The sequence below is a fragment of the Homo sapiens genome, chromosome X (genome assembly GCF_000001405.40).
Source record: "Homo sapiens chromosome X, GRCh38.p14 Primary Assembly".
Taxonomy (NCBI): Eukaryota; Metazoa; Chordata; class Mammalia; order Primates; family Hominidae; genus Homo; species Homo sapiens.
The window spans coordinates 9,815,402-9,839,251 of record NC_000023.11 but is presented as its reverse complement, the minus strand read 5'-3'; the positions used below and the strand labels follow the sequence as shown (position 1 = coordinate 9,839,251).

At 47.8% G+C, this 23,850-nt stretch overlaps 1 protein-coding gene and 1 pseudogene across 2 annotated transcripts in view, besides 3 other annotated features; one reads left to right on the top strand and one right to left on the bottom strand.

Moving 5' to 3' along the window:
• The window catches only part of SHROOM2 (shroom family member 2), a 163,015-nt gene that overhangs the window by 110,192 nt on the left and 28,973 nt on the right, over positions 1-23,850 (bottom strand). The window lies entirely within an intron of this gene.
• Positions 5,948-6,591: an enhancer, noted in NCBI's record as "NANOG-H3K27ac-H3K4me1 hESC enhancer chrX:9800701-9801344 (GRCh37/hg19 assembly coordinates)". NCBI's record gives its function as "activates a minimal SCP1, AML or CMV promoter by ChIP-STARR-seq in naive H9 embryonic stem cells {active_cell/tissue: H9 hESC(naive)}" and the evidence as "EXISTENCE:reporter gene assay evidence [ECO:0000049][PMID:30033119]".
• Positions 6,592-7,236: an enhancer, noted in NCBI's record as "H3K27ac-H3K4me1 hESC enhancer chrX:9800056-9800700 (GRCh37/hg19 assembly coordinates)". NCBI's record gives its function as "activates a minimal SCP1, AML or CMV promoter by ChIP-STARR-seq in naive H9 embryonic stem cells {active_cell/tissue: H9 hESC(naive)}" and the evidence as "EXISTENCE:reporter gene assay evidence [ECO:0000049][PMID:30033119]".
• Positions 13,238-13,760: an enhancer, noted in NCBI's record as "H3K4me1 hESC enhancer chrX:9793532-9794054 (GRCh37/hg19 assembly coordinates)". NCBI's record gives its function as "activates a minimal SCP1, AML or CMV promoter by ChIP-STARR-seq in naive H9 embryonic stem cells {active_cell/tissue: H9 hESC(naive)}" and the evidence as "EXISTENCE:reporter gene assay evidence [ECO:0000049][PMID:30033119]".
• Positions 19,583-21,213, top strand: EIF5P1 (eukaryotic translation initiation factor 5 pseudogene 1; annotated as a pseudogene).

Below are 23,850 nucleotides of genomic sequence, written 5' to 3'. Positions count from 1 at the left end.
AAAACCCAACAATACCCACTTGGGTTTGCCCACATAATGCATACAAAATAGCTGTTGGGGTCAAGCACACCAATTCGGAAGTGACAGAAACAATACTCCTGTATTGTGTGACCTGATATTGCTCAGTGATATGTATCTCAACACCCAGTGCCACCTGGTGAAATTTCAGTCAAGAAAATGACACAGTTCCTTTCATACCCCCAGCTCTCTTGCTTGGTTTCTGATTTCCTTCCACGTGCGACAGGGAAGGAAAGGGTCCAATCTTAGTCCCTTTCCATCACCCCCAAAAGATCCTTTGTATTCCTTAAGCCATTCCCACCACAGCCCCAGGCAACCACGAATCTCCTTTCCGTCTCTGGATTTGCCTCTTTTGGACAATCCCTGTACGTGGAATCCGGCAGTATGTGGCGTAAAAGCTGCATCCCAGTGGATGGTTTCTCTCACACAGAAGTTAAACCTCTGAAGGTGGCCCAGAGAATGTGCCAGCCCTTGGTGGCGCTCCCATGCCAATGTTTTCCTAGCCAAATTCAGGCACGAAGGGGCACACTGTCTTCAACTTCTCTTATTTAAGGCTTTTTGTTTCTTGCTTGCTTGCTTAACTCGGGTGTCTGGATGAAGCCATCCTGAACTTGCTGTAAAAGTTTTGAGAAGAAACAAAGGCTATACGACATACTATGATGAGTTCGTCACTACTGAGATACTTTCCTGCAGATTACCATAACCCCTCCTTCCTTAGTAGTCAAGGCTTGATCTACTATATGGTAGGGGTTGTGAATTCCCAGGCTCCCTGCAAGTCCCACAAGCAGGCATTTCTTAAGCAGTTTTTAGCTGCCGTGGGTGTTGGCAACAACCCAATCCCAGCCAGCTCGTGACCTTAAAACTCCTGATTTAAGGCCGGGTGCGGTGGCTCATGCCTGTAATCCCAGCACTTTGGGAGGCCGAAGCGGGTGGATCACGAGGTCAGGAGATCGAGACCATCCTGGCTAACATGGTGAAACCCTGCCTCTACTAAAAATACAAAAAATTAGCCGGGCGTGGTGGCGGGCACCTGTAGTCCCAGCAACTCGGGAGGCTGAGGCAGAAGAATGGCGTGAACCCGGGAGACGGAGCTTGCAGTGAGCCGAGATCGTGCCACTGCACTTCAGCCTGGGTGACAGAGCAAGACTCTGTCTCAAAAAAAAAAAAAAAAAAAAACCACACACACACACAGAAAAACTCCTGATTTAAGTCTTCAGCTTACTCAGTGCTCTTGCTTCCCAAGGAAATGTCCAGGACCACCCAATTCCAGCTGTTCTGCTGACTAATGGTGACCCCGATGCCCCAGTGGCCTGATCCATACATGGGGGCAGGTGCTACCACCATCTGAGGCTGCAGTGCCCTAGCGAAGGCACCCCGCCTGGCCCAAGAAGGATGTGAGGAACCTGCCACACATTATATTGGCCAGGCACACAAACACTGAGCCAGCAAGGACAGGAGGGTGAAGGAGACCCACCCAGCCGCAAGGAGCTGGGCACAGGGGTATGAGGCGACATCCCCAGTACAGCAGATCAAGCACACGACCAGGCCCAACACAGTCTGGCCACCTGGTGCTGTCTCCACTTGGCCAAAGAAAAAGCCAAGCAAGACAAGGAACGGTCTCAGAGCACAGCCCAGCGCCCACTCTCCTGTGAGCCTCCCCGCCACCAAAACAGGGCTGGTCCCCTATGTTCCTTCCGCATGCCGCCCTGTCGGGAGGGCAGGATGGGACATGTGCACACCACACGTTTCATCATCAGGAGAACCACATGGAGAACATGCTTCTAGAAGCCTCTATCCCTTGAACTGTCAGTTGAAGGAAGCTGGAGATTTTTGCTCACACGACAATAATTGACAGTGACTTACTTCCTGAGGTCAGAGAGAGGCAACATGAAACACGTTTTTAAAATATTTGGCTTATTAGATTTTTTGAACAATCCTATGCTAACAATCCCGGCTCCCAAGTGACAGTTGATGTTCTAAGGACTTATGCGACCAGCCTCCCCACAAACCACAAAGCTGGTCACTTCCAGAGCCGAGACCCCCTCCCGTGTGCCCACAAAAGTGGGAACCACTCTTGTCAGGGTGGCACGGGAAAGCAATGAGACCGTGCATCAGCTGACACACTGGTCAGCACCATGCGGTCAGTCTGCACCAAGGACCAGCACTTGGCACCGGAAGGGAATGGAGTACCGATACCACCTGCAATGTGGATCAATCCCGAAAATATGATGCGGAGTCAAAAAGCCAGTCACAGAACACCACATACTGCAGGATTCCATGTACAGGGAGTGTCCAAATGAGGCAAGTCCAGAGACAGAAAGGAGATTCATGGTTGCCTGGGGCTGTGGTGGGAACCAGAAGGGATGGCTTAAAGGAATAAAAAGAATCTTTTGGGGGTGATGGAAAGGATCTAAAATTGAATCATGATGAAGGATGCACACCTTTGAACTCACTATAAATCACTGAATTGTATACTTAAAATGGGTGAATTTTATAGTGTAGAAATTGGCCGGCAACAGTGGCTCACGCCTGTAATCCCAGCAGTTTGGGAGGTTGAGATGGGAGGATTGCTTCAGGCCAGGAGTTCAAGACCGGTGTGGTCAATATAGTGAGACCCTGTCTCTTAACAAAAAAAAAGAAAGAAAATCACATATCTCGATAAAGCTGTAAAAGAAAAACAGTGGGAGGGAAAGGGAGAGAGAGAAGGGAGAAGGAGGGGGTAGAGAGGGAGAAAAGAGAGAGAGAGAGAAGCTGGGGGGTAGACTGAGGCTGAGGCTGAAGGACAGCTAGAGAGGGAGAGAAGCGAGGGCACACAGACATTGCAAAGATGCTAAACCGGGCCCAGAAATGTTCTTAGAAACCTCCAGTTCCTATCTGTTGAGCGCTGTCTATGTGTCCAGCAATCTCTGAGGCCCTGCAGACTCCAGACACTATGCTGCCAGGGGTTCCCCTCTTTTTAGAGAGAAAACTGAGGCTGAGCATGGTCCACTTTTACCCAAGGGCAGCTGTCCACTAAAAAGAGGAGCTGGGAGAGGGGACATGGGCCTTTCCACTCCCCACTGCACCGTGCAAAGACGGCTGCCTTGGGCCTGGGCCTGGGCCTGGGCCAGGGCTGATCTGGTGCCCGGGTCTGCTGCCCCTCCCCTCCCCGCTCTCCAGGTGTGCAGATGCCTTCAGGTGGGCTGTACGTGGCTCAGGAAAGGTGCTCAGGGGTGCGAAGAAGCTTCCAGGCTCAGCTGCTCAGCAGGGTTCTTTACTTGACAGTGAGAGGTTCTAGAACAACTCCAGCTCCAACCAACTTTCTTCAGGGAACCTCTGTGTTCAGCCTCCAAACAAAAACAGAAAACTGAGCCGGGCGTGGTGGCACACAACTACTCCAGTGATGAGAGGATTACTTGAGCCCAGGAGTTGGAGGCTGCAGTGACCTATGATGGTTCCACTGGACTCCATCCAGCCTGGGCAACAGAGCGAGAGCCTGACTCAAAACAACCAAAAAAAAAAAAAAACATGAAGAGAGCCAGTGAGGTCGGGCAAAAGCAGTGCTGGGCTTCTGCACCCAGTACCCCCCTAGGGCAGGGCAGGTGCTCTCCCAAAGCCTTAAAAGTTTGGTTTTCTAAAATCAGAATCCTCCTGGCCCACGCTGGTGCTAAAAACACAACCCTTCTTTGAGGTATACAATGGTGTATGCTAATGCTGCTTTTCTTCTTCATTTTACTTTTTGTAGCCAGGCCCTGTAAGATGGCATAAGAATTAACGTTTTCCTAAACGCTAGTGCAGCCACATGGTTTCTCCCCATTGCCCTGCATTCTAATGTGCTTCCAAGGGGATGACGCTGCTGCTGCTCTTGCTTCCTTCCTTAGAACAGCAAGGCTCGAAACATTAAAACTGCTGGACAGGGAGGAGGGAAGAGAGGGAGACAGAGCCCCGGGAATTATTTGCCCCATACACATCTGTCCGTGCATATATTCAACTGGCCCTTTCTTCCTGTGGACTTCTGGTCCTCCAGGCAACTGCAAAGCACAGGTTCTCTGCCCTGCAGGTCTAGTTTCCTGACTCCCAGTTTGAAATGATATGAGGTCACTCTATTTGCAGTCAACACTGTCAGTGTGTTTTTTCCCATCAGTGAGTTGTTTTCAAGGTGAACACAATAAAACCTACTTTACATAAAGAAAAAAATTCTCTGTAAGATTCTGGACATCAGAATCAATGAGGATGAACAGGGACTCCCCTGACTGGCACCTTGGGTAGGACACGACAGCACCACCTCCTGATGGAGCGCCACCTGTTTCTGCACAGTGGCAGATGCTGGGTGAAGTTTTAGAACAAAGCCAGCACAAAGCTAAACCATGGGCTCTGCACCAGTAATCAGATCCTGCAGGCACGGGCAGTGCACCTTGCAAACACCCCTCTCTACCTGGCTCAGCTCCCTGACAAGGAAAACCCAAGTGGGAGAATCTCTTGACCCTGGGAGATCAAGGTAAAAGGTGAACCATGATTGTGCCACAGCCTGGGCAACAGTGAGATGCTCTTTTTATTTCTTTTCTTTTTTTTTTACTTTTTGTGAGATGTTGTCTCAAAGAAAATAAATAAATAAATAAATAAATAAATAAGGTGGAGAAAGAGCACTGGGGAGGAATGGCCAAGAGCACTGATGAGCAACACCAATTTACTTCGCAATGAGCCCATGGCTTCCCCTTGACCTCTTCCAGGTGAAGTTCCACGAGCTGCCTTGGCAACACCTGAGCAAAGCAGTGAGCACCGAGCTCTGCTCCCTGTTTTGGAGGGAGCTCTGCCTCCCTGTCTTGCCGGCTCGGTTCTGCAGGCACCTATACAGCATTTCCCATGCGCACAACATTCTGGAGGACATGCAACACCACACGGAGTGTCTGAGCCTCTCTTTTCTTCCAGCAGATTCCTCCCTCTGGAGGACACCACCTCCTCCTGACAGGCTTCCCCAGCACTCTCCTGGTGCATGGGACTCAACCCATGCTGGGGGCCACAGTCCTGGGATAGGGTGACAGGTCCAGCGCTGCAGCTCTTGGCTCAGCACCACCACCACACTGAGATGGACCCCCGTTTGCTGTGGGGGGCATCTTGCGCACTGGCAGATGTTGAGCAGCATCCCTGCTCTCCACCCACAAAGGCCAGTGGCATCCCCCCATCTTAAGACAACCAAAAATACCTCTGGACATTGCCAAATGTCTGGGGAGCAAAGTCACTCCCAATTGTGAACCACTAGTGTAGATGGGAACCTCAGCGAGGCTTGTCAGGGAGGAACATATCCTTCCTTTGAGGCTGCAGGTCTGTAGAACACAAGCCCAGGGACACGTGTGGCCACTGTGGGAAATGTGCTGGAGAACTAGGCCAGCAGGAAGGAGGCCGTCGGATCTCAGTGGGGTGGGACAGGGAGACACAGTGGGTCCTCCAGCATGCCTGAAGCCCCTCGAGACTTTCTAGCTGGGGAGTTAATGCAGTCCCTCTCCCACGGAAGCTAATGGTCTAGGCTGTATTTCTGTCACTTGCAACCAAAGTAGTTCTGGCTGTCTGGAGTTGTCTGGAATTCTGTTATCATGTGTGCACGTGCATGCACACACACACACACACACACACACACACACACACACAGAGTCTACTTGTGTGTCTCTTCATTGTCAGTGGAGTCCTTCAGCGCTCAATGTCCTAGTAACTAAGTGCTTAGTTATGAGGTCCCTAATTAGGAGGTCCGATGCAGGGGTGGGGTAGCTGAAAATGTGTACAGTGATTCATAATATAGTTTTAAACAAAAGTAGCCTGCAGAGCAAACATCTCCCAGTATTTTGATTCATTTTCTTCATGATGACCTAGGAGAAGAGAATTTCCAGCACTTTGGGAAAATGTGGAAGTCTGCCTTGGAGAGGAGAGACTGCGGGTCACTACACTAACACAAGAGCCAGAGAGAAAACTGGACAAAAAGTGTATTCATTTCAACATGGGGCGGTCACAGGTAATAAAACGCCCGCTCCACAACTGGCAGATTCCCGTTACGGAATGAGGACCAATGTGTTCCCACACACAGACAGTGAAGGGGCTCAGGGATGCTTGCTCTGAGGCTGCGGTTTTGTTCCGTCTGTCATTTCCTAGTCAACAGAGTCCCAGGGCCACCTGCTGTTTTCCTTCTCCACAAGGACGCGAGAAGACATTTGTTAAGTAGAAGTAAAGCACTTTCCATTGTGCCGGCAACTCCTCCTCCCATCTCATCTCCCCTCTGTGACTGCCCAGTCACAGGAAAACCTTTGCATGTGGCCACTTCCTGCTTCAAAAACCAACACAAATAAGTCCTTCCCCTTCCTCTGACCCATTACAAAGTAGATTTCTAGTACTTCCTATACACAAAACAAGAAATATCAAATATCTGAGGTTTTGACCTTGGCCAGAGGAACACCTGGTAGACCAGCAAGCAGGGGCCATCAGAGAAGCGGGCTCAGAGTGAGGTGCACCCGCCCCCCACCCTTACCCCTGCAACCTGCACACACGTTAGTGTTCAACAAGCAAGCCCCAGGACACATTGACCTGCAAGTGAGCTCAGCGGTCAGCTGGGGAGCTCAGCCGGTTCATATGCAGGCTCCTGCTGGTTCGTCTAGTGTGCTGGGGCACTCCCAGCTCTAGCTGTGCCCGCTCCCTATCCCATGTGCCTACTGGGTAAACGGTTTCCTAACTACTAAGCCTGCATGTGCCACATGGTCACATGCATTCTACTTCGAGGGAGCCAGCACACAATTCCAAAAGACTCGACCAAGAGATGGCCACGGGACAGCATCCCTCAGGACTGGAGATTTCCTTTCCACTCCCCACCAACCTAGTCATGCTCCCTGACAAACACAAAGTGCAAGACCAGCAAGGAGGGGTGTGCTGCAGAGGGAGGGGCTCGGCGGGCTAGAGAGACACAGGGTGGGCGTTACCTCCCATAGCAGAACCAAGTCCTGAGGATGGATCCCTGGCCAAGCCCCACTGTGCAGGCCTAAGGAGCTCCCTGCCTCTGGACAGGCACCCCTGGCTCCTCCAGGTCTTGCCAAGGTCATCCTGCCTCTTCAAGGACCAGACTCTCTTAAACACCTGAAGCAAACTTCAGCACAAAGAGAACACACGAAAGAAGAAGGTGCGAAGACCTTAACTAAGGTTCCCTAGGGGTCCCAGCCCTAAGGCCAAGGGAAGGATGACACATTAGGGAGAATCTGACAGTGGATAGCAGTGGCTCCTAACTGGCGTGTGCTACAGACTGAATGTGTGTGTTCCCCCACCCACAAAATCCATATGTTGAAATCCTGATCCTCATGGTGATGGTGTTAGGAGGTGGGGCCTTTGGGAGGTGATTATGTCATGAGGGTGGAGCCTCATGAATGGGATTAGTGCCCTTATTAAAGGGACCCCAGAGAGCTCTGTTGCCCCTTCCACCATGCATGGATACAGCAAGAAGGCACTGTGTGAACCAGGAAGCCCTCACCAGACACTGAATCTGCCACGCCTCGATCTTGGATTTCCAGCCCCCAGAACTGTGAGCAACAAATGTCTGTTGCTTTTGTTTGTTTGTTTGTTTTTGAGATGGAGTTTTGCTCTCATTGCCCAGGCTGGAGTGCAATGGCACGATCTCAGCTCACCGTAACCTCCGCCTCCCAGGTTCAAGCGATTCTCCTGCCTCAGCCTCCCAAGTAGCTGGGATTACAGGCATGCGCCACCACACCCGGCTAATTTTGTATTTTTAGTAGAGACAGGGTTTCTCCATGCTGGTCAGGCTGGTCTTGAACTCCTGACCTCAGGTGATCCGCCCACCTCAGCCTCCCAAAGTGCTGGGATTACAGGCGTGAGCCACCGTCAACTGGTCTATGGTCTTTTGTTATAGAAACCTGAACAGACCAAGACACAGTGACTGTGGTCCCCATCCCCTAGACACTTGGCAATGTCTAGAAACAGTTTTGGTTGTCCTCATTTGGAGACAGATGCCAAGATGTTGCTAAATATCCTACAATCCACAGAAAAGTCCCCACAGCAAAGAATCATCAAGCCCCAAATGTCGATAGTGCCATGTTGACAAACCACATCTACGGCACTAACCAGCTATTTCGGTTTCCCCTCTGAAACAGTCTTTTCTGACAAAAGTCAGTGTTTTCCTCAGTTTCCCTCCCCACTCTCCTGTGTGTAGTTCCATGGGTTCAACCTTAAGCCTTCCTCTAACGCACAACAGAATCTGACTTCTCTCGCCTTCTGCCTAAACTCAGAACTCACAAGATGCCTCTCGTGAGACCCATGCATTCAACACATGGTGTTAATGTCTGGCCTTTGCCAACAGGCTGGACAGTTATCTAAGAAACTAGGGGTTGTAATCCCAGCACTTTGGGAGGCCGAGACGGGCAGATCACCTGAGGTCCAGGAGTTCGTGACCAGCCTGACCAACATGGAGAAACCCTGTCTCTACTAAAAATACAAAAATATTAGCCGGGCATGGTGGTGCATGCCTGTAATCCCAGCTACTCGGGAGGCTGAGGCAGGAGAATCGCTCGAACCCAAGAGGTGGAGGTTGTGGTGAGCCAAGATCGCGCCATTGCACTCCAGCCTGGGCAACTAGAGTGAAACTCTGTCTCAAAAAAAAAAAAAAAAAAAAAAAAAAAAAAAAAAGAAACCAGGGGTTCACTTGAGACCCTGTAACAGCTAAACTGATCAATTTTCTTAGCCACAAGCTGCTTTCTTCCAGTTTAATCTTTGGGTGAAGGATAAGAATTATCAAGCTCTATGTCGGAAATTCATCAGGATGCCACTTCCAATTCAGCTGACCCCACTTTCCAGACAGATGGCTGTGGTGGATCAGCGACTCTAGGCAGCAAGAAAATTCAGGCCACCATCCAGGCGCCAGCACTCCCCCTGCTCCGTGTACATGGCAAAAAGAGATTCAAGCAGTTAAACTCATAGAACCAGAAAGTGGAATAGAGGCTACCAGGGGCAGAGGGGAGCAGGGAATAGCAACAATACGTATTTCTGCCAGGTGCGGTGGCCCATGCCTGTAATCCCAGCACACATACAAAAAGAAAGAAACGTATTTCTCACAGCCTGGAGCTGGGAAGTCCAAGATCAAGATGGCAACATAATCAGGTTCCGGTGAGGGGTCTCTTCCTGGACTGCAGAAGGCCACCTTCTTACTGTGTGTGAGAGAGGGAGACTTGCAGAGCCCAAGACATGCCAGTGTGAATCTGAAATAATCTAATGTATTTTCTGAAACCATTAGCTAATGATTCTTAAAAAATAAAAATAAAAATAAAAAAAACTGGGCCAAAATGCTCTCCTAAAAGCATCAACTGAACCTGAAACCTGAATAATATTGTATTAGATCTGAGCCCTTGGTTTTCTCATCCTGAAAGCATGCATGATAAATAAGCTTTGTACCTACCCCAACTAGACTGTCGTAATGAGCATGTTCAGATCACTCTGCCGCAACCGGCAGGTGTGAGTTCTGTTTTCAATCTGAATCATACTTTCTTCTGGCTTAGAAATACCTTCGCTTGTGAGTCACCTTCAGGCAACCGCAATTTCTCAACTTCCAGATTCACCATCCTTGTTTCCATATATTTAAAAAAATGCCTTGTACTAGGACTGGCTCCCAGTCTCTTGGCCCTAGAATCTCAATGTGTCCCTGCCACCCTAAGGGCTGAAAAGGAATCGGAGTGTGTACGGATCAACAGCGGCCCCCATCATGATTGGGCATCATTGGAACTCCACCTCCAAAGGATGGCTCTGGTCCTTGTCACCACAAACCTCTGGGGTCAGCTCTTAGCCAACAAAGCAATCACACCTACTGCAAGGGCACTGGAAAAGTGGGGTCTCTGACTAGTGCTGCTGGTAACAGCTGGCATGTGTAGACTGGCGACAGCTACTCAGCCCCAGGGTCCAGGCGTGGTGGCTCATGCCTGTAATCTCAGCACTTTGTGAGGCTGAGGTGGGTGCATCACCTGAGGTCAGGAGTTTGAGACCAGCCTGGCTAACATGGTGAAACCCCGCCTCTACTAAAAATACAAAAGTTAGCCGGGGGTGGTGGCGCATGCCTGTAGTCCCAGCTACTCAGGAGGCTGAGGCAGGAGAATCACTTGAACCTGGGAGGTGAAGGTTGCAGTGAGCCAAGATTGTGCCACTATACTCCAGCCTGGGCAACAGAGAGAGAATCTGTTTAAAAAACAAAAACAAAAACAAAAACAAACAACCCCAGGAAGCATTACCTTCCCAACTTCAGATATGTGAAAATTGTGCTCAAAGGTTTTAAATCCAAAGTCAATCAACACAAAGGATTAGCATCTGGTTTACTAACTCAAAGATAGCGCTATGGTCCTTACGCTACACCCTGCTGAGGTGTCATTTGCCTGTTCAAAATAGAAATAACCGTTGCTTTGCCATTCGTAAAATTGTATGTGTGGATGAAGAGACAGATAGACAGATATAGACAGACAGGAAAGCTGGGCACAGTGGCTCACACCTGTGATCCCAGCACTTTGGGAGGCAAGGCTGGAGGATCACTTGAGCCCAGGAATTCGAGACCAGCCTGGGCAACATAGTGAGACCCCATCTCTACAAAAAAAAATAACATTAACTGGGAATGGTAGCAGGCACCTATAGTCCCAGCTACCCGGGAGGCTCAGGTGGGAGAGTTGGAGGTTGCAGTGAGTTAACATCATGCCACTGGTCTCCAGCCTGGGTAAGGCTTACTCTGACAGAGCAATACTCTGTCACTAAAGCAACAATAATAATAAGAAGAAGAACAATAACTTCTTCCCTGGAACACATATGAGGAATGGATAAGAGAAAGTCTATCAGGCTGAGGTTCCCAAGCACCAGCCTATGATCAGAAGCATCCTTCGAGAAGGCCCTTGATATGGTTCGGTTCTGTGTCCCCACCCAAATCTCATCTTGAATCGTAATTCTCATAATCCCCATGTGTCAAGGGACGGACCAGGTAGAAGGTGATTGGATAATGGGGGCATTCCCCCGCCATGCAGTTCTTGTGATAGTGAGTTCTCACAAGATCTGATGGTTTTATAAGGCAGTTTTCCCTGCTCTTGCCTGCTCTCTCTCGACTGCTGCCACGTAAGATGTGCGTATTCCCCTTCCACCATGATCGTAAGTTTCCTGAGGCCTTCCCGGCCAAGTGAAACTGTGAGTCAATTAAGCCTCTTTATAAATTACCCAGTCTTAGGTAATTCTTTATAGCAGTGTGAAACCCTGCCCTTAAAGGGCAGGACTGGGGCAGGACCTGAGCCTCTGCATTTTGGACAAGCTCCCAGAGGAAGCTGATGCTGCTGATGGGAAGAGCACTCTTAGAGAAGCCCTGCTGGAAAGCATTTAGCCTGGCACCTGCTAGGTCCTTCGCTAGTACCCCATACAATGCAGCCCAACCACCCCGACCCGGAAGGACCCTATTCTCTCAGCGGAGGAAGGCCTCCTCCCTCCTCCTTGCTCCACCTCCCCACACAGCAGCACCACTTACTTTCCCAGAACTGCTTGGGTCTATTGGTCTCCCTGCTCCCCAAGGCAGGAGAGTGCATTCCATACTCCCTGGAGCTCCTTCTGCTTGAAAATCCCTCGGCCCCAGCCTCAGCACAGACTACACCTTTTCCCTTCCTGTGACACCTTGGCCACCAGAGCCTGACCAAAGGTTGACGTGCTCCCTCGCCTCAAACCAAAGAGAACCAATGTGGCCCCCTCGAGCTCAGAAAACACACCCATTCATTAAACTCAGGCAGGCCCCTGGCCGGGGGGACTCAATGTTCACCATGAGCTTTGCAGAGAATGCTTGGTGCCTGTCTGTTAACCTGCCAACAAGAGTCAAGGCTAGCTGGGCGTGGTGGCTCATGCCTGTAATCCCACCACTCTGGGAGGCTGAGATGGGAAGATCAGTTGAACCTGGGTGGTTGAGGCTGCAGTGAGCCCAGATCACGTCACTGCACTCCAGCCTGGGTGACACAATAAGACCCTGTCTCAAAAAAAAAAAAAAAAAGAAAAAGAAAAATGTCAAGGCTAACATGTAAGACCATAACCCTCCATCCAGGCTACACTGGACTCTCCTGGTGTTCTTTAGAATCACCAATACCTGCCCCTGCCCCTCCATCTCCTGACTAACTGGCCTGGGGTGCAGCCTGGCCATCAATAGCGCTTCGCAGCTCCCCCAGGGAGCACAGCCAAGGTTTCACCACTGCACTGGAGGAATGGAGTCATCCCCCTTCTTTTATTTAACTGAATACACAGTAACATTTCCAAGGGTCTGTTTTCACCCTGGCCTTAAAAGCTGACCAGAGGCCCAAAGACTCAACATTCTCTACCACTGTCCACCTTTCAAAAGCGTTTGAGCCTTGGTGCATTTTCCCAAATCTTGTTCGTTCTTTGAAAGATGAGAATGTACATAGTAATCTTTTCTTTTCTTCTTGTTTTTCTTTTTCTTTTTTATGGAGACAGGGTAGCTCTCTGTCGCCCTGGACGGAGTGCAGAGGCACAATCACAGCTCACTGCAGCCTTGACTTCCCTGGGCTCAAGTGATCCTCCCACCTCAGCTTCCCAAGCACCTAGGACTACAGGCGTGCACCACCACACCCAGCTACATCTTCTGTATTTTTTTGTAGAGATGGGGTCTCACCATATTGCCCAGACTGCTCTTGAACCCCTGAGCTCAAGCGATCCTCTCAGCTCAGCCTCCCAAAGCACTGGGATTACAGGAGTGAGCCATCACATCCAGCCTCTTTTGTTATTGTTTTTAAATGATGGATAAGAGCTGAAGATAAAGTTATTCTTAGAAATAGAGATTAAAAAAAAAGGAAAATGATACCTGTCAAAAAAAGAAAAAGGTTATTTAGAATACAATTTAGATGTTCCAATAAACTTCTAATATTCAGAAGTCTCCCACCTGTGTCATCCGAGCCCAGCAGTGAGGCGTGGAGGCCAGGTTATGCATGAAGAGCACAACTTCGGATGACCACAGACCCGCTTGCAAATTCCAATGTGCAAAAACAAGGCAAGGGGAAGAAAGTGACAAAGGTCATGATGGCATAACACATTCACTGAGAACCAGAACTGGACAGGGCGGTGAGACATTAGCCCCCGAAGAACCTGGCCCACCTCAGGCAAGCCATGGAGTTGCTACCGTGAGAGGCACATGCACCCACCCTGGGTGGGGACTATCACATTTGCAGGAGGCGGAGGCCCAGGCAGGCTTGCTCCCAACTGTGGCCACAGGTGGAGTCACCCAGAGGGCTTCAGACACACACAGAGGTTCTGTGGGAACACACACGGTTGTGTGTCGTGTTGGGTGCCCAGAAGCACAGCAGGCTACAGATCCACTGGCTTGCATTCCAATACCCAGGACTCCCCTCTAGCTTTCCACCCTCATTCTTCCCAGGGAGCTCCAGAAACTGGCTAAGAAAGGGTCAGACAGCGTCAAACAGGCAACTCAAATGTGCAGCCAGGGTCCACAAGGCTGTGGGAGGGAAGCAGCTACTATCTTCCTCACTGAAACACAAACATACACCCACATATGGAACCATAAATGCAGCTCGAGCACTCAGCGTCCAATTAACAACTCAATGCCAGGGAATGCCCATTTCCCAAGGGCCGTGCAGACTGTCCTTGACACTCAAGTTCCTGGAGAATGAGCTACAGACAAGATTGCATCTTTATCAGTGTGGATGTAAACATGCGAAGAGGAGGGGAAGTTACAATGTCACTTTCTCTAAAATGCCAGTTCATTAATTTTGTCAGCCCCAACTGAATTTATAGAACAAAATACCAAAACAGACTCCCACCATGTTGTGAAAACCCAAAGTCTTACAAGTTAAAATGTCATGCTGTTGTGGGATTATTGGTTCAAATATTGCTTTTGTGAAGCAAGGACTAAGCAACATAGTAAACAGGGCCTCTACTAGGGAGACAGTCCTGGTGCAATAACCCCAGTGCAGGAAGCTGGCTGGAAACACATTCTTCGTGATCCCTTTCATTTTTGTCCAAGAACAGTCTATTATTTTTCCTTTAATATTGAGCTGCAAAGAGAATTTTTTAACCACTTAAGCTATTCGAAGCACATATTATTCCATAACCTTTGTATTTTGATATTTAGGGAGATTTTTCCAAAGCTTCCAATGTAAGAAGAATGACCTTTCATCCAGGAGAAATATTTCCTGGCTTATTCCACTACATCTGAAAACAAGATAAGTAGAAGGGAAACTGCTTTGCTCTTTCATGAAAGCAAACCCAGCACCCCTGCCACCCCCTCCACAATCCCGAGGCCATCTCGAGATGGGGGTCCCAGGGAGAAAGCCGCCCAAGTGTCCCGCAGGAGATGGCTGGGAACATTCCTCTCTCCCTACCCTTGCCAGGTACTCAACCATAAGTGAACGTCCTGATGGTGAAAACAGCCGTGTCAAACTGCCCAGCCCAGCTAAGACCCTGCACAGTTCAAAAGGGCACAACGGTTGTGTGCCGGTTGTGTGTCGTGTCAGGCTCCCAGAAGCACAGCGGGCTACAGATCCACTGGCTTGCATTCCAATACCCAGAACGCCCCTCCAGCTTTCCACCCTCATTCTTCCCAGGGAGCTCCGGAAACCAGCTAAGAAAAGTTTAAGCAATTGCTTTGCTCCAAATGACTTATTTCTTTGTGGGGAGGGGAGGAAGAGAGGGGCAAAATCTATGGAATGGAAGATTTCTAGGTTTATGCTTTCCAGCTTACATATTCTCTTCTCTTACTAGAAATCCATGATCTTTTATTGTATTTTATTCTATTTATTTATTTATTTTTGAGACGGAGTTTCGGCTCTTGTCTCCCAGGCTGGAGTGCAATGGTGCGATCTCCGCTCACTGCAACCTCCGCCTCCCAGGTTCAAGAGTTTCTCCTGCCTCAGCCTCCTGAGTAGCTGGGATTATAGGCATTTGCCACCACGCCCAGCTTTTTTTTTTTTGTATTTTTAGTAGAGGCGAGGTTTCTCCATGTTGGCCAGGCTGGTCTCGAACTCCTGACCTCAGGTGATCCACCCACCCTGGCCTCCCAAAGTGCTGGGATTACAGGTGTGAGCCATAGCACCCGGCCGACCTTAATTTTTAAGCTGTTGTTTAAACTAAAAAGATTTGGGGGAAAACCTGGAATGTAAACGAGCCTCATTCACTTCATACCCAAATGTTATTTCTTGGGACGCTGCAGTGGCTCACGCCTGTAATCCCAGCACTTTGGAAGGCCAAGGCAGGAGGATACTTTGAGCCCAGGAGACCAGCCTGGGAAACATGGCAAAACCTTGTCTCTACAAAAAATTTTAAAATTAGCTGGGCTTGGTAGTACATGCCTATAGTCCCAGCTCCTCAGCAGGCTGAGGTGGGAGGATCACTTGAGCCTGGGAGGTGGAGGTTGCAGTGAGCTGTGATTGCGCCACTGCATTCCAACCTGGGCAAACGAGCAAGACCCTGTCTCAAAAAAAAAAAAAGAAAAAAGAAAAAAGAAAAAAGAAAAAAAATGTTGTTTCTCCATGTAAATCTGGAGCATAATTCCATGATTATTACCAAAAACAAAGCAAAAAGCAAAAATGACTTCGTATAGATCCTGCCTCTTCCTGGGAGAAGTAACTACTACCTGATTCTGTTTTCCTAGCACACTATACAATTTTACATGCAGTGAAGACATAACTACAAAAATAAGATCTATTTATGGTGACCATTCAAATAAAATCTTATGTTTAAGAATAACATGAAATTGGCAGAGACAAGATCACTTGAGGCCAGGAGTTCCACACCAGCCTGGGCAACATAGCAAGACCTTGTCTCTACTAAAAATCGAAAAATTAGCCAGGCATGGTGACACAAGCCTTTAGTCCCAGCTACTTGGGAGGCTGAGGCAGGAGGATAGCTTAAGCCTGGGAGTTTAAGGCTGCAGTGACCAATGATCATGCCACTGTACTCCAGTTTGAGCAAGAGTGAGACCCTGTCTCTAAAAATATGAAGAAGAAGAAGAGAAGAAGGAGGAGGAGGAGGAGGAGGAGGAGGAAGAGGAGAAGGAGGAGGAGGAGGAGAAGAAGAAGAAGAAGAAAAGAAGAAGAAGGAAGAAGGAGAAGGAGAAGGGAGAAGGAGAAGGGAGAAGGAGAAGGAGAAGGGAGAAGGAGGAGGAGAAGGGAGAAGGGAGGAGGAGGAGGAGGAGGAGGAGGAGGAGGAGGAGGAGGAGGAGGAGAAGGAGAAGGAGAAGAAGAAGAAGAAGAAGAAGAAGAAGAATTATTATTCTTATTCTCAAAATTGAGTTTTTCCAACAAATTGCTTCATTTCCTGCCCAAGCAGTTAGGACAGTGCATTGAAGACCCCCGCTGCCAGTGTTTGCTGGGAGTCCTCAGAGAAGGGACAGAGCCCCAGGGAGGTCCGCTCCTGCCCGGAGGCACTGAGCACTCCTCCTCCTCCTCCTGGCACTAAGCAAGCATGTTGAAGCAGCCTAGCCACACCTGGGCAGAGAGGAGCTGGTCTGCACCAGATTTGGCCATTCCCTCCGCAGAGCTTTCTGGAGCTGCCACCTGCGTGGCACTGAGCACAGATCCAGGAGCCAGGACTCCCAGGACTGATCCCTGCTCAGCCCTCGCCTCCCCCAGGCAGATGGGATGGAGGGAGGGAGAGGCAAGCAGTCATGCACAGATGCACACGTGTGTTCAGGCACCAGGATTCTCCATCCCTGCACCAGATGCGGATACTGTGCCGTGGTGGTACCACTCGCATCCCTTAACTTTTCTCTATCACTGCTGGTAGGACAAGGCTTCCTAATTCCTCCCTGTAACTCCTGTACCCATTTGCCCTTCTATTACAAGTGGTCTTTGCCACCACACCCTGCTTAAAAGTCTTCCATGGCTCCCACTGCCCTGGAGCAAGGCCCTGGCTCCTGCCCACCTCCCCCACTGCAGCCTCCTCCCCCCTTCCCCTAACCTGCAGGCTGCCACTAGCTCCTCAGCCCAGGGGGCCTTCCAGCTACATGCCCTGGAGGAACACCATGTGAGTTTCTCCCTCAATCGGGGTTCACCCACTCAGAGGTGAGGCTCCTTAAACAACACACACTCTTTCCCAGGCCTGTCTGCTCCTGGGTCAGATCCAGCACCAAAAATCACAGCTTAGTGATGATCCCTGTGACACGAATTCAGGGCCACTGAAGAACTGCCCCAGGATGGGCTCTAACAGGGGCCTTCAGGGTCAGCCTCCTCTCAGTGAGGTCTCTACAATTCAAGAATAAGGCTGAACACACACCTCGACCCATTTCCTTTTTTTAAATAACTGCTTTCTTGAGTATAACTCACATACGATAAAATTTACCTCTTTACAGTATAGAATCAAAGGGTTTTTAGTATATTCACAGAGTTGTGCAACCACCACTCTCTAAGTCCAGAACATTTTCATCACCCCAACAGAAACCCCACGCCTGCTGGCAGACCCTCCCCTCTGCACTCCGCCCCGGTAACCACCATTTTGCTGCCTTTGCATATTCAAGCATTTGAAGCATTTGCATATTCAAGATATTTGATACCAATGGATCATACGGTATATTTCTCAACCCGTTTTCACTTCAAATACTAAATAAAAGTTCGCAAATGTGGTAGCAAATGTGGTGGGGTGCAATATTTATTACAACCAACAGGCTTTAAAATTTCAGAAATTCCTGGGTTTCAAAACACGCATTACATGTAGGAGAAAAGAAATAAATCCACCTTCCCAGACCAGGTACCAGGGGCAGAGTTCACAATAAGCTAACAAAAAGCCACAACTGCTCCCATTTTCCACATTTACCCCCTCCTTCTTGCAAAGTACCCCAAGCAAGCTCAGGCTGTAGTTTGAAAAACTTCCCTGACGCCTCCCCCACGTCCTCTACTGGTTCAGAGAAGTGCTGCTTTAGAAACTGGTTCCGATTTCAGTGTGTATAAAACCATCTGAGCCAGTTGTTAAAATTCAGGTCCCTGGGTCCCAGCAACCGTGATTCCGAGGTTTTGCACATGCTAATTAGAATACAAATGGCAGACAGGCCACATCTCTGTAGAGCAGTTGTACAGAGAACTGCTCTGCTGTGTGGAGCCAGCATTAGCATCACCCAGATGATTCCTAACTTCTGGTTTGGGGTTCGGTAGGTCTAGAGTGGGGTCCAAGAATTTTCATCCCTACCAAGTTCCCAGGGGATACTGATGCTGCTGGTCTGGGAACCATACTTTGAAAACCACTGCTTACCAAGGACAGCAAGCCCCAGCCAGGATGCCAATTACTGCTCAATGCCTGCTTTTGTAAATAAAGATTTATTGGCACACAATCCTTTCATTTACATACTGTCTACAGCAGCGTTCATGCTATACAGCACAGAGGAGTAATTTGGCCCACAGAGCCAAAAATATTTACTCTCTGGCCCTTTACAGAAGTCTGCTGGCCTCTAGTTTGCAGAGGATCATCCAAACATTAGAAATATCCTGACCATGTCTATTGTCAAATTGAGACTTCTGGTACTTCATACAGATTTCAGAGAATGGAGGACGTGGAATTTTATTAAAACCTAAGGATTTTTTCAAAAGAAAAAGGAAGGCCAGGTACAGTGGCACACACCAGTAATCCTAGCAATTTGGGAGACCAAGGCAGGAGGATCACTTGAGCCCAGGAGTTTGAGACCAGCCTGGGCAACATGGTGAGAACTCATCTCTAAAAAAAACCTTTTTAATTAGCAGGGCACGGTGGTGCACCTGTAGTCCCAGCTACTTGGGAGGGCTGAGGTGGGAGGATTGCTTAAGCCCGGGAATTCAAGACTGCAGTGAGCTATGATTGTACCACTGCACTCCAGCCTGGGTGACAGAGCAAGACTCTATTTAAAAAAGGGTGGGGGAGGAATGCAGGCTGCTTCTAGAAGCTGGAAGCTGGCTGTGGCTGGAGCAAAGAGGGTGGGAAAGGATGGAGGGAGGGCCACATGTTGAAGACCCAGTTACAGAAGCCTCTGTGGGCCATAGGATGGTGCCAGCTTCAGTCGACATATGATGAGACTCTACTGGACAACTCTTCATATTTACAAAAAAAAAAAAAATACTGCAATAAAATAAATCTTGAGGCTCGAAAAACATAATCTGAAAAAAAAAAAAAATTTTAAAGGTGGAGGGAGCCAGGCACGGTGGCTCATGCCTGTAATCCCAACACTTTGGGAGGCCTAGGCAGGCAGATCACTTGAGGTCAGGAGTTCAAGACCAGCCTGGACAACATAGTGAAACCCCATCTCTACTAAAAATAAAAATTAAAAAAATTAGCTGGGTGTGGTGGCAGGTGCCTGTAGTCCCAGCTACTCAGGAGGCTGAGGCAGGAGAATCGCTTGAACCCAGGTGGCGGAAGTTGCAGTGAGCCAAGATCACGCCACTGCAATCCAGCCTGGGCAACAGAGCGAGACTCCCTCTCAAGAAAAAAAAAAAAAAAAAAAGATAAACTGGCAGGGTGGACTCGACGTGATGCCTGCTAGGAGCAAGGTGACAGGGAAGCATGAAGGACAGCGCTTTTCAAGCGTGGGAGAGCAGGGAGGCCTTCACCAGAAGAGCTTTTGCGCAGCCATTAGTACCTGTATTGGGGAAACATAGCATACAAGCAAGACGCTTACAGCCTCAGTGGTGAAAATGTTTTCACATTAGAGACCGAGAACTTTTGCAGTTGTTTATGTCATCCCTTCTTCTCCAGACAGAAGATATAAAAAAGCTGCAATCAAAGATCTCTTCATCTTATTGATAAAGCCACCAATAAGCCAAAATGTCTGTCAACGTCAACCCCAGCATATCAGACCAGTTCTATTACAAGATGCCCTGTCTGATTGCCAAGGTTGAGGGCAAAGGAAATGGAATCAAGACAGTTATAGTCAACATGACTGACACTGCAAAGGCGCTTAATTGGCCTCCAAGGTATCCCACCAAGTATTTTGGTGGGATACATTGTTACATTGTGAATGGATCTCAGGAGGCCAATAAGCTGCAAGACATATTGGATGGACTCATTAAAAAATTTGTTCTCTGTCCTGAATGTGAGAATCCTGAAACAGATATGCATGTCAAGCCAAAGCAGCAAACAATAGGTAATTCTTATAAAGCCTGTGGCTATCGAGGCATGCTTGACACACATCATAAACTCTGCACATTCATTCTCAAAAACCCACCTGAGAATAGTGACAGTGGTACAGGAAAGAAAGAAAAGGAAAAGAAAAATATAAAGGGCAAAGACAAGGAAAATGGCTCCGTATCCAGCAGTGAGACACCACCACCAAAGAAATTAGCCCTCCTCCACATACAGTGGAAGAAGAGGAGGATGACTGGGGGGAAGATACAACTGAGGAAGCTCAAAGGTGCAGAATGGATGAAATCAGTGATCATGCAAAAGTTCTGATACTCCATGATGATTTGGAAAAAACAGTTGAGGAGCGGGCCAACATCCTGTTTGATTTTGTGAAGAAAAAGAAAGAAGAGGGTATCATTGATTTATGTGACAAAGAAATTGTTACTGAAGCAGAAGGACTGGATGTTAAAGCCATGGGCCCTCTTGTTCTGACTGAAGTTCTTTTTAAAGAGGAGATTAGAGAACACATAAGAAATACAGGCACCATTTCTTATGATTTTGTCACAACAACAAAAAAGCTCAATGGTACCTTCTTCATGGCTTTACGTGTGGGGTAGCAATGCACCAAGCTCAGCTTATCTCTAAGATTCCAAATATCTTGAAGGAGATGTATGATGTAGATTTTTTAGAAGAAGAGGTCGTCATCAGCTGGTCGGAAAAAGGCCTTTAAGAAACATGTCTCAAAAGAACCTGCCAAAGAGATTCGTGTCAAAGTAGAACCATTTATAAAATGGAGGCAGAGGAAGAATCTTCTGGTGGTGAAGAAGATGAAGATGAGAACATTGAGGTGGTGTATTAGAAGACTGCCAGTGTACCTAAAGTTGAAACTGTAAAGTCCAACAACAAGGATGATGACATTGATATTGATGCCATTTAATGGGATGGATACAACCTAGCTTAACATTGTAATGCTGCAAATTCTTCTCCGTTACCAGCCAGCACAACATGTATGCGCAAAAGCTAAAATGGCTTAACATCAAGCTACACTATACACTAAAAATCCATTACTGTGAGTGGTCTGTAATTAAGCTCAATGAGACATCCAGGGAGTCCATACACACATCAGTGAGCAGATGTAGTTTGCTTATTTATAGCATGTTTCTTTTTGAAAAACTGGTGGTGGACACATTTGGATCACATTTATACAGTTATAAAAATAAAGATTTGATTTTGGCCATTCTTCAGATATTTGGCTCTGAATGACTTAAGCTGAAGTATCTGGCTCCATTTTCAAATGTTACATCATCGTTTCACCTGATGAGCATTCTTGGAGGCTGCTAGATATTGTTAGGTACTGAGGCTGTAAAGAGGTCTTCAACAGGATGTAAGGCAAACTTATTTGTAATTACCTTATTCAGCCCATTAAGAAATAGTACTACATAAGTTTTATCTCTAGTCCCTCCAATTGGCATCTGGTAATGTACACTGCGAGGTAGACTGATAACCAAATGACAGTGCAACATCCTACTGAGAAGTAAATATGACCTGAGTGTCCTAGAAATAATTTAACAGCAGGTTTTGAAACTTAGAGAGTTGTTTTCTCATTTCATGTATACTTGCCCTAAATTGTAGTCTTTGAAGTCGTGTGCACTGCACGTTGGGTGAGCCAGGGAAGTTATTACATTAACAACCATTTTGTGTGTACGCAGTAGTTGCTTCGTACTGAGAGAACTTGCTTTGGGGTACAATTAAAAAATAAACTGATTTTATTTGGGGGAAACAGGGAAGGGTGCACTTACTAGTAAACCTAAGCATTAATTTTCAGCTTTTGCCCTTATGATTTAAATTACAATTCCAAAATGTTTAGACATACTGAAAAAAAAAAAAAAAGTTAGAGGGAGGTTGGGTGTGGTGGCTCACACCTATAATCTCAGCACTTTGGGAGGCCGAGGTGGGTGGATCACTTGAGGTCAGGGGTTTGAGACCAGCCTGGCCAACATCGTGAAATCCTGTCTCTACAAAAAATACAGAAATTAGCTGGGCATGGGTGACGGGTGCCTGTAGTCCCACCTACTCAGGAGGCTGAGGTAGGAGGATCACTTGAGCCCAGGAATTGAAGGCTGCAGTGAGGCAAGGTCACACCACTGCACTCCAGCTTGGGCAACAGAGCAGGACAACGTCTCTTAAAAAAAAGAAAAAGAAAAATATTCAACAGAAAACCTTACAAACCCTACAATGTTATGATGAAGATACTGCCAATGTCCCCTAAATCTGGAAAATTTAAGTTTGTTGAGGGATCCCCCTATAGCACGGGTTTCTGAAATATAACCAGAAATGATGAAGAGGTGAAGGTTTTGATTTTGGTCTGAAGCTGTGTTGTTGCTGGGAAGTGAAGGAGTGGGAAATGACAAGAGAGCAGCTCATGTCTAAGGGGGGACACCGTCCCGAGCACTATCACCCTTGGGCTACAGGGACCCCGCTCGCTGTCTGAACCCCAGAATCAACCCCATGTCCACTTCGCAGGGAGGGTGAAAGACTCCCATGCTCCTGCTCAGAAAGTAGCAGCAGCAGCAGCAGCAGCAGCAGCAGCAGGGGGTAAGGCTGAGCTAACCACAAACTGCCACCACAAGGACCACAAGGATGCCGGTGACCAGGCATGTCTTCCTGAAGGCTCAGCAGACATGCTGACCACCTCTGTCGGAGCCCTGCAGGGGCCCACACCCACCGGGGTCAGGACAAAAATCCTATGACCTTTGAAATTGTGAGTTTTAATTTTGCTTCAACAGCCGTGAAGCCAAAATGACCAATCCTATTCTTTTGATTCATCAGGGATGCGCCACCCATGTGCTCAGGAAATCACAAGCGCTATGCCTGGGGCACTGAGGTTAAAAAGCTTGAAACACAAGGAAAATACTCAGGAGAATTGAAAACTTGTCCACACAGCAGCATTATTTACAAGAATCACAAAGGAGAACCACCCACATGTCCATCAAAGGATATGAACAAAACGCAGTCCATTCCCATAGGACAATAGCATTCAGACATGAAAAGGAATGACTGATACACACTACAACATGGATGAATCTCCAAACATTATACTGAGATAAACCAGACACAAATGACCACATATTCTACGATCCCACTGACATGAAATGTCCAGAATAGGCAAATCCGTACATAGTAACTGTGATGGTTAATACTGAGTGTCAACTTGACTGGATCGAAGGATACAAACTACTGATCCTGGGTGTGTCTGTGAGGGTGTTGCCAAAAGAGATTACATTTGAGTCAGTGGGCTGGGGAAGGCAGATCCACCCTTAATCTGGTGGGCACAATCTAATCAGCTGTCAGCAAATATTAAGCAGACAGAAAGACGTGAAAAGGAGAGACTGGTCTAGCCTCCCAGCCTACATCTTTCTCCCATGCTGGATGCTTCTGCCCTCGAACATCAGACTCCAAGTTCTTCAGTTTTGGGACTCGGACCAGCTCTCCTTGCTCCTCAGCTTGCAGATGGCCTACTGTGGGACCTTGTGATTGTGGGATGTAATACTTAATAAACTCCCCTTTATAGATATAGATATAGATATAGATATAGATATAGGATATAGATATAGGATAGATATAGGATATATATATATAATGGATCTCTATATATGATATATACATATGAGATATATAGGAGATATTATATACACACACACACACACACACACACACACACACACACACACACACACATAATATGTATATCTATCCTATTAGTTCTGTCAC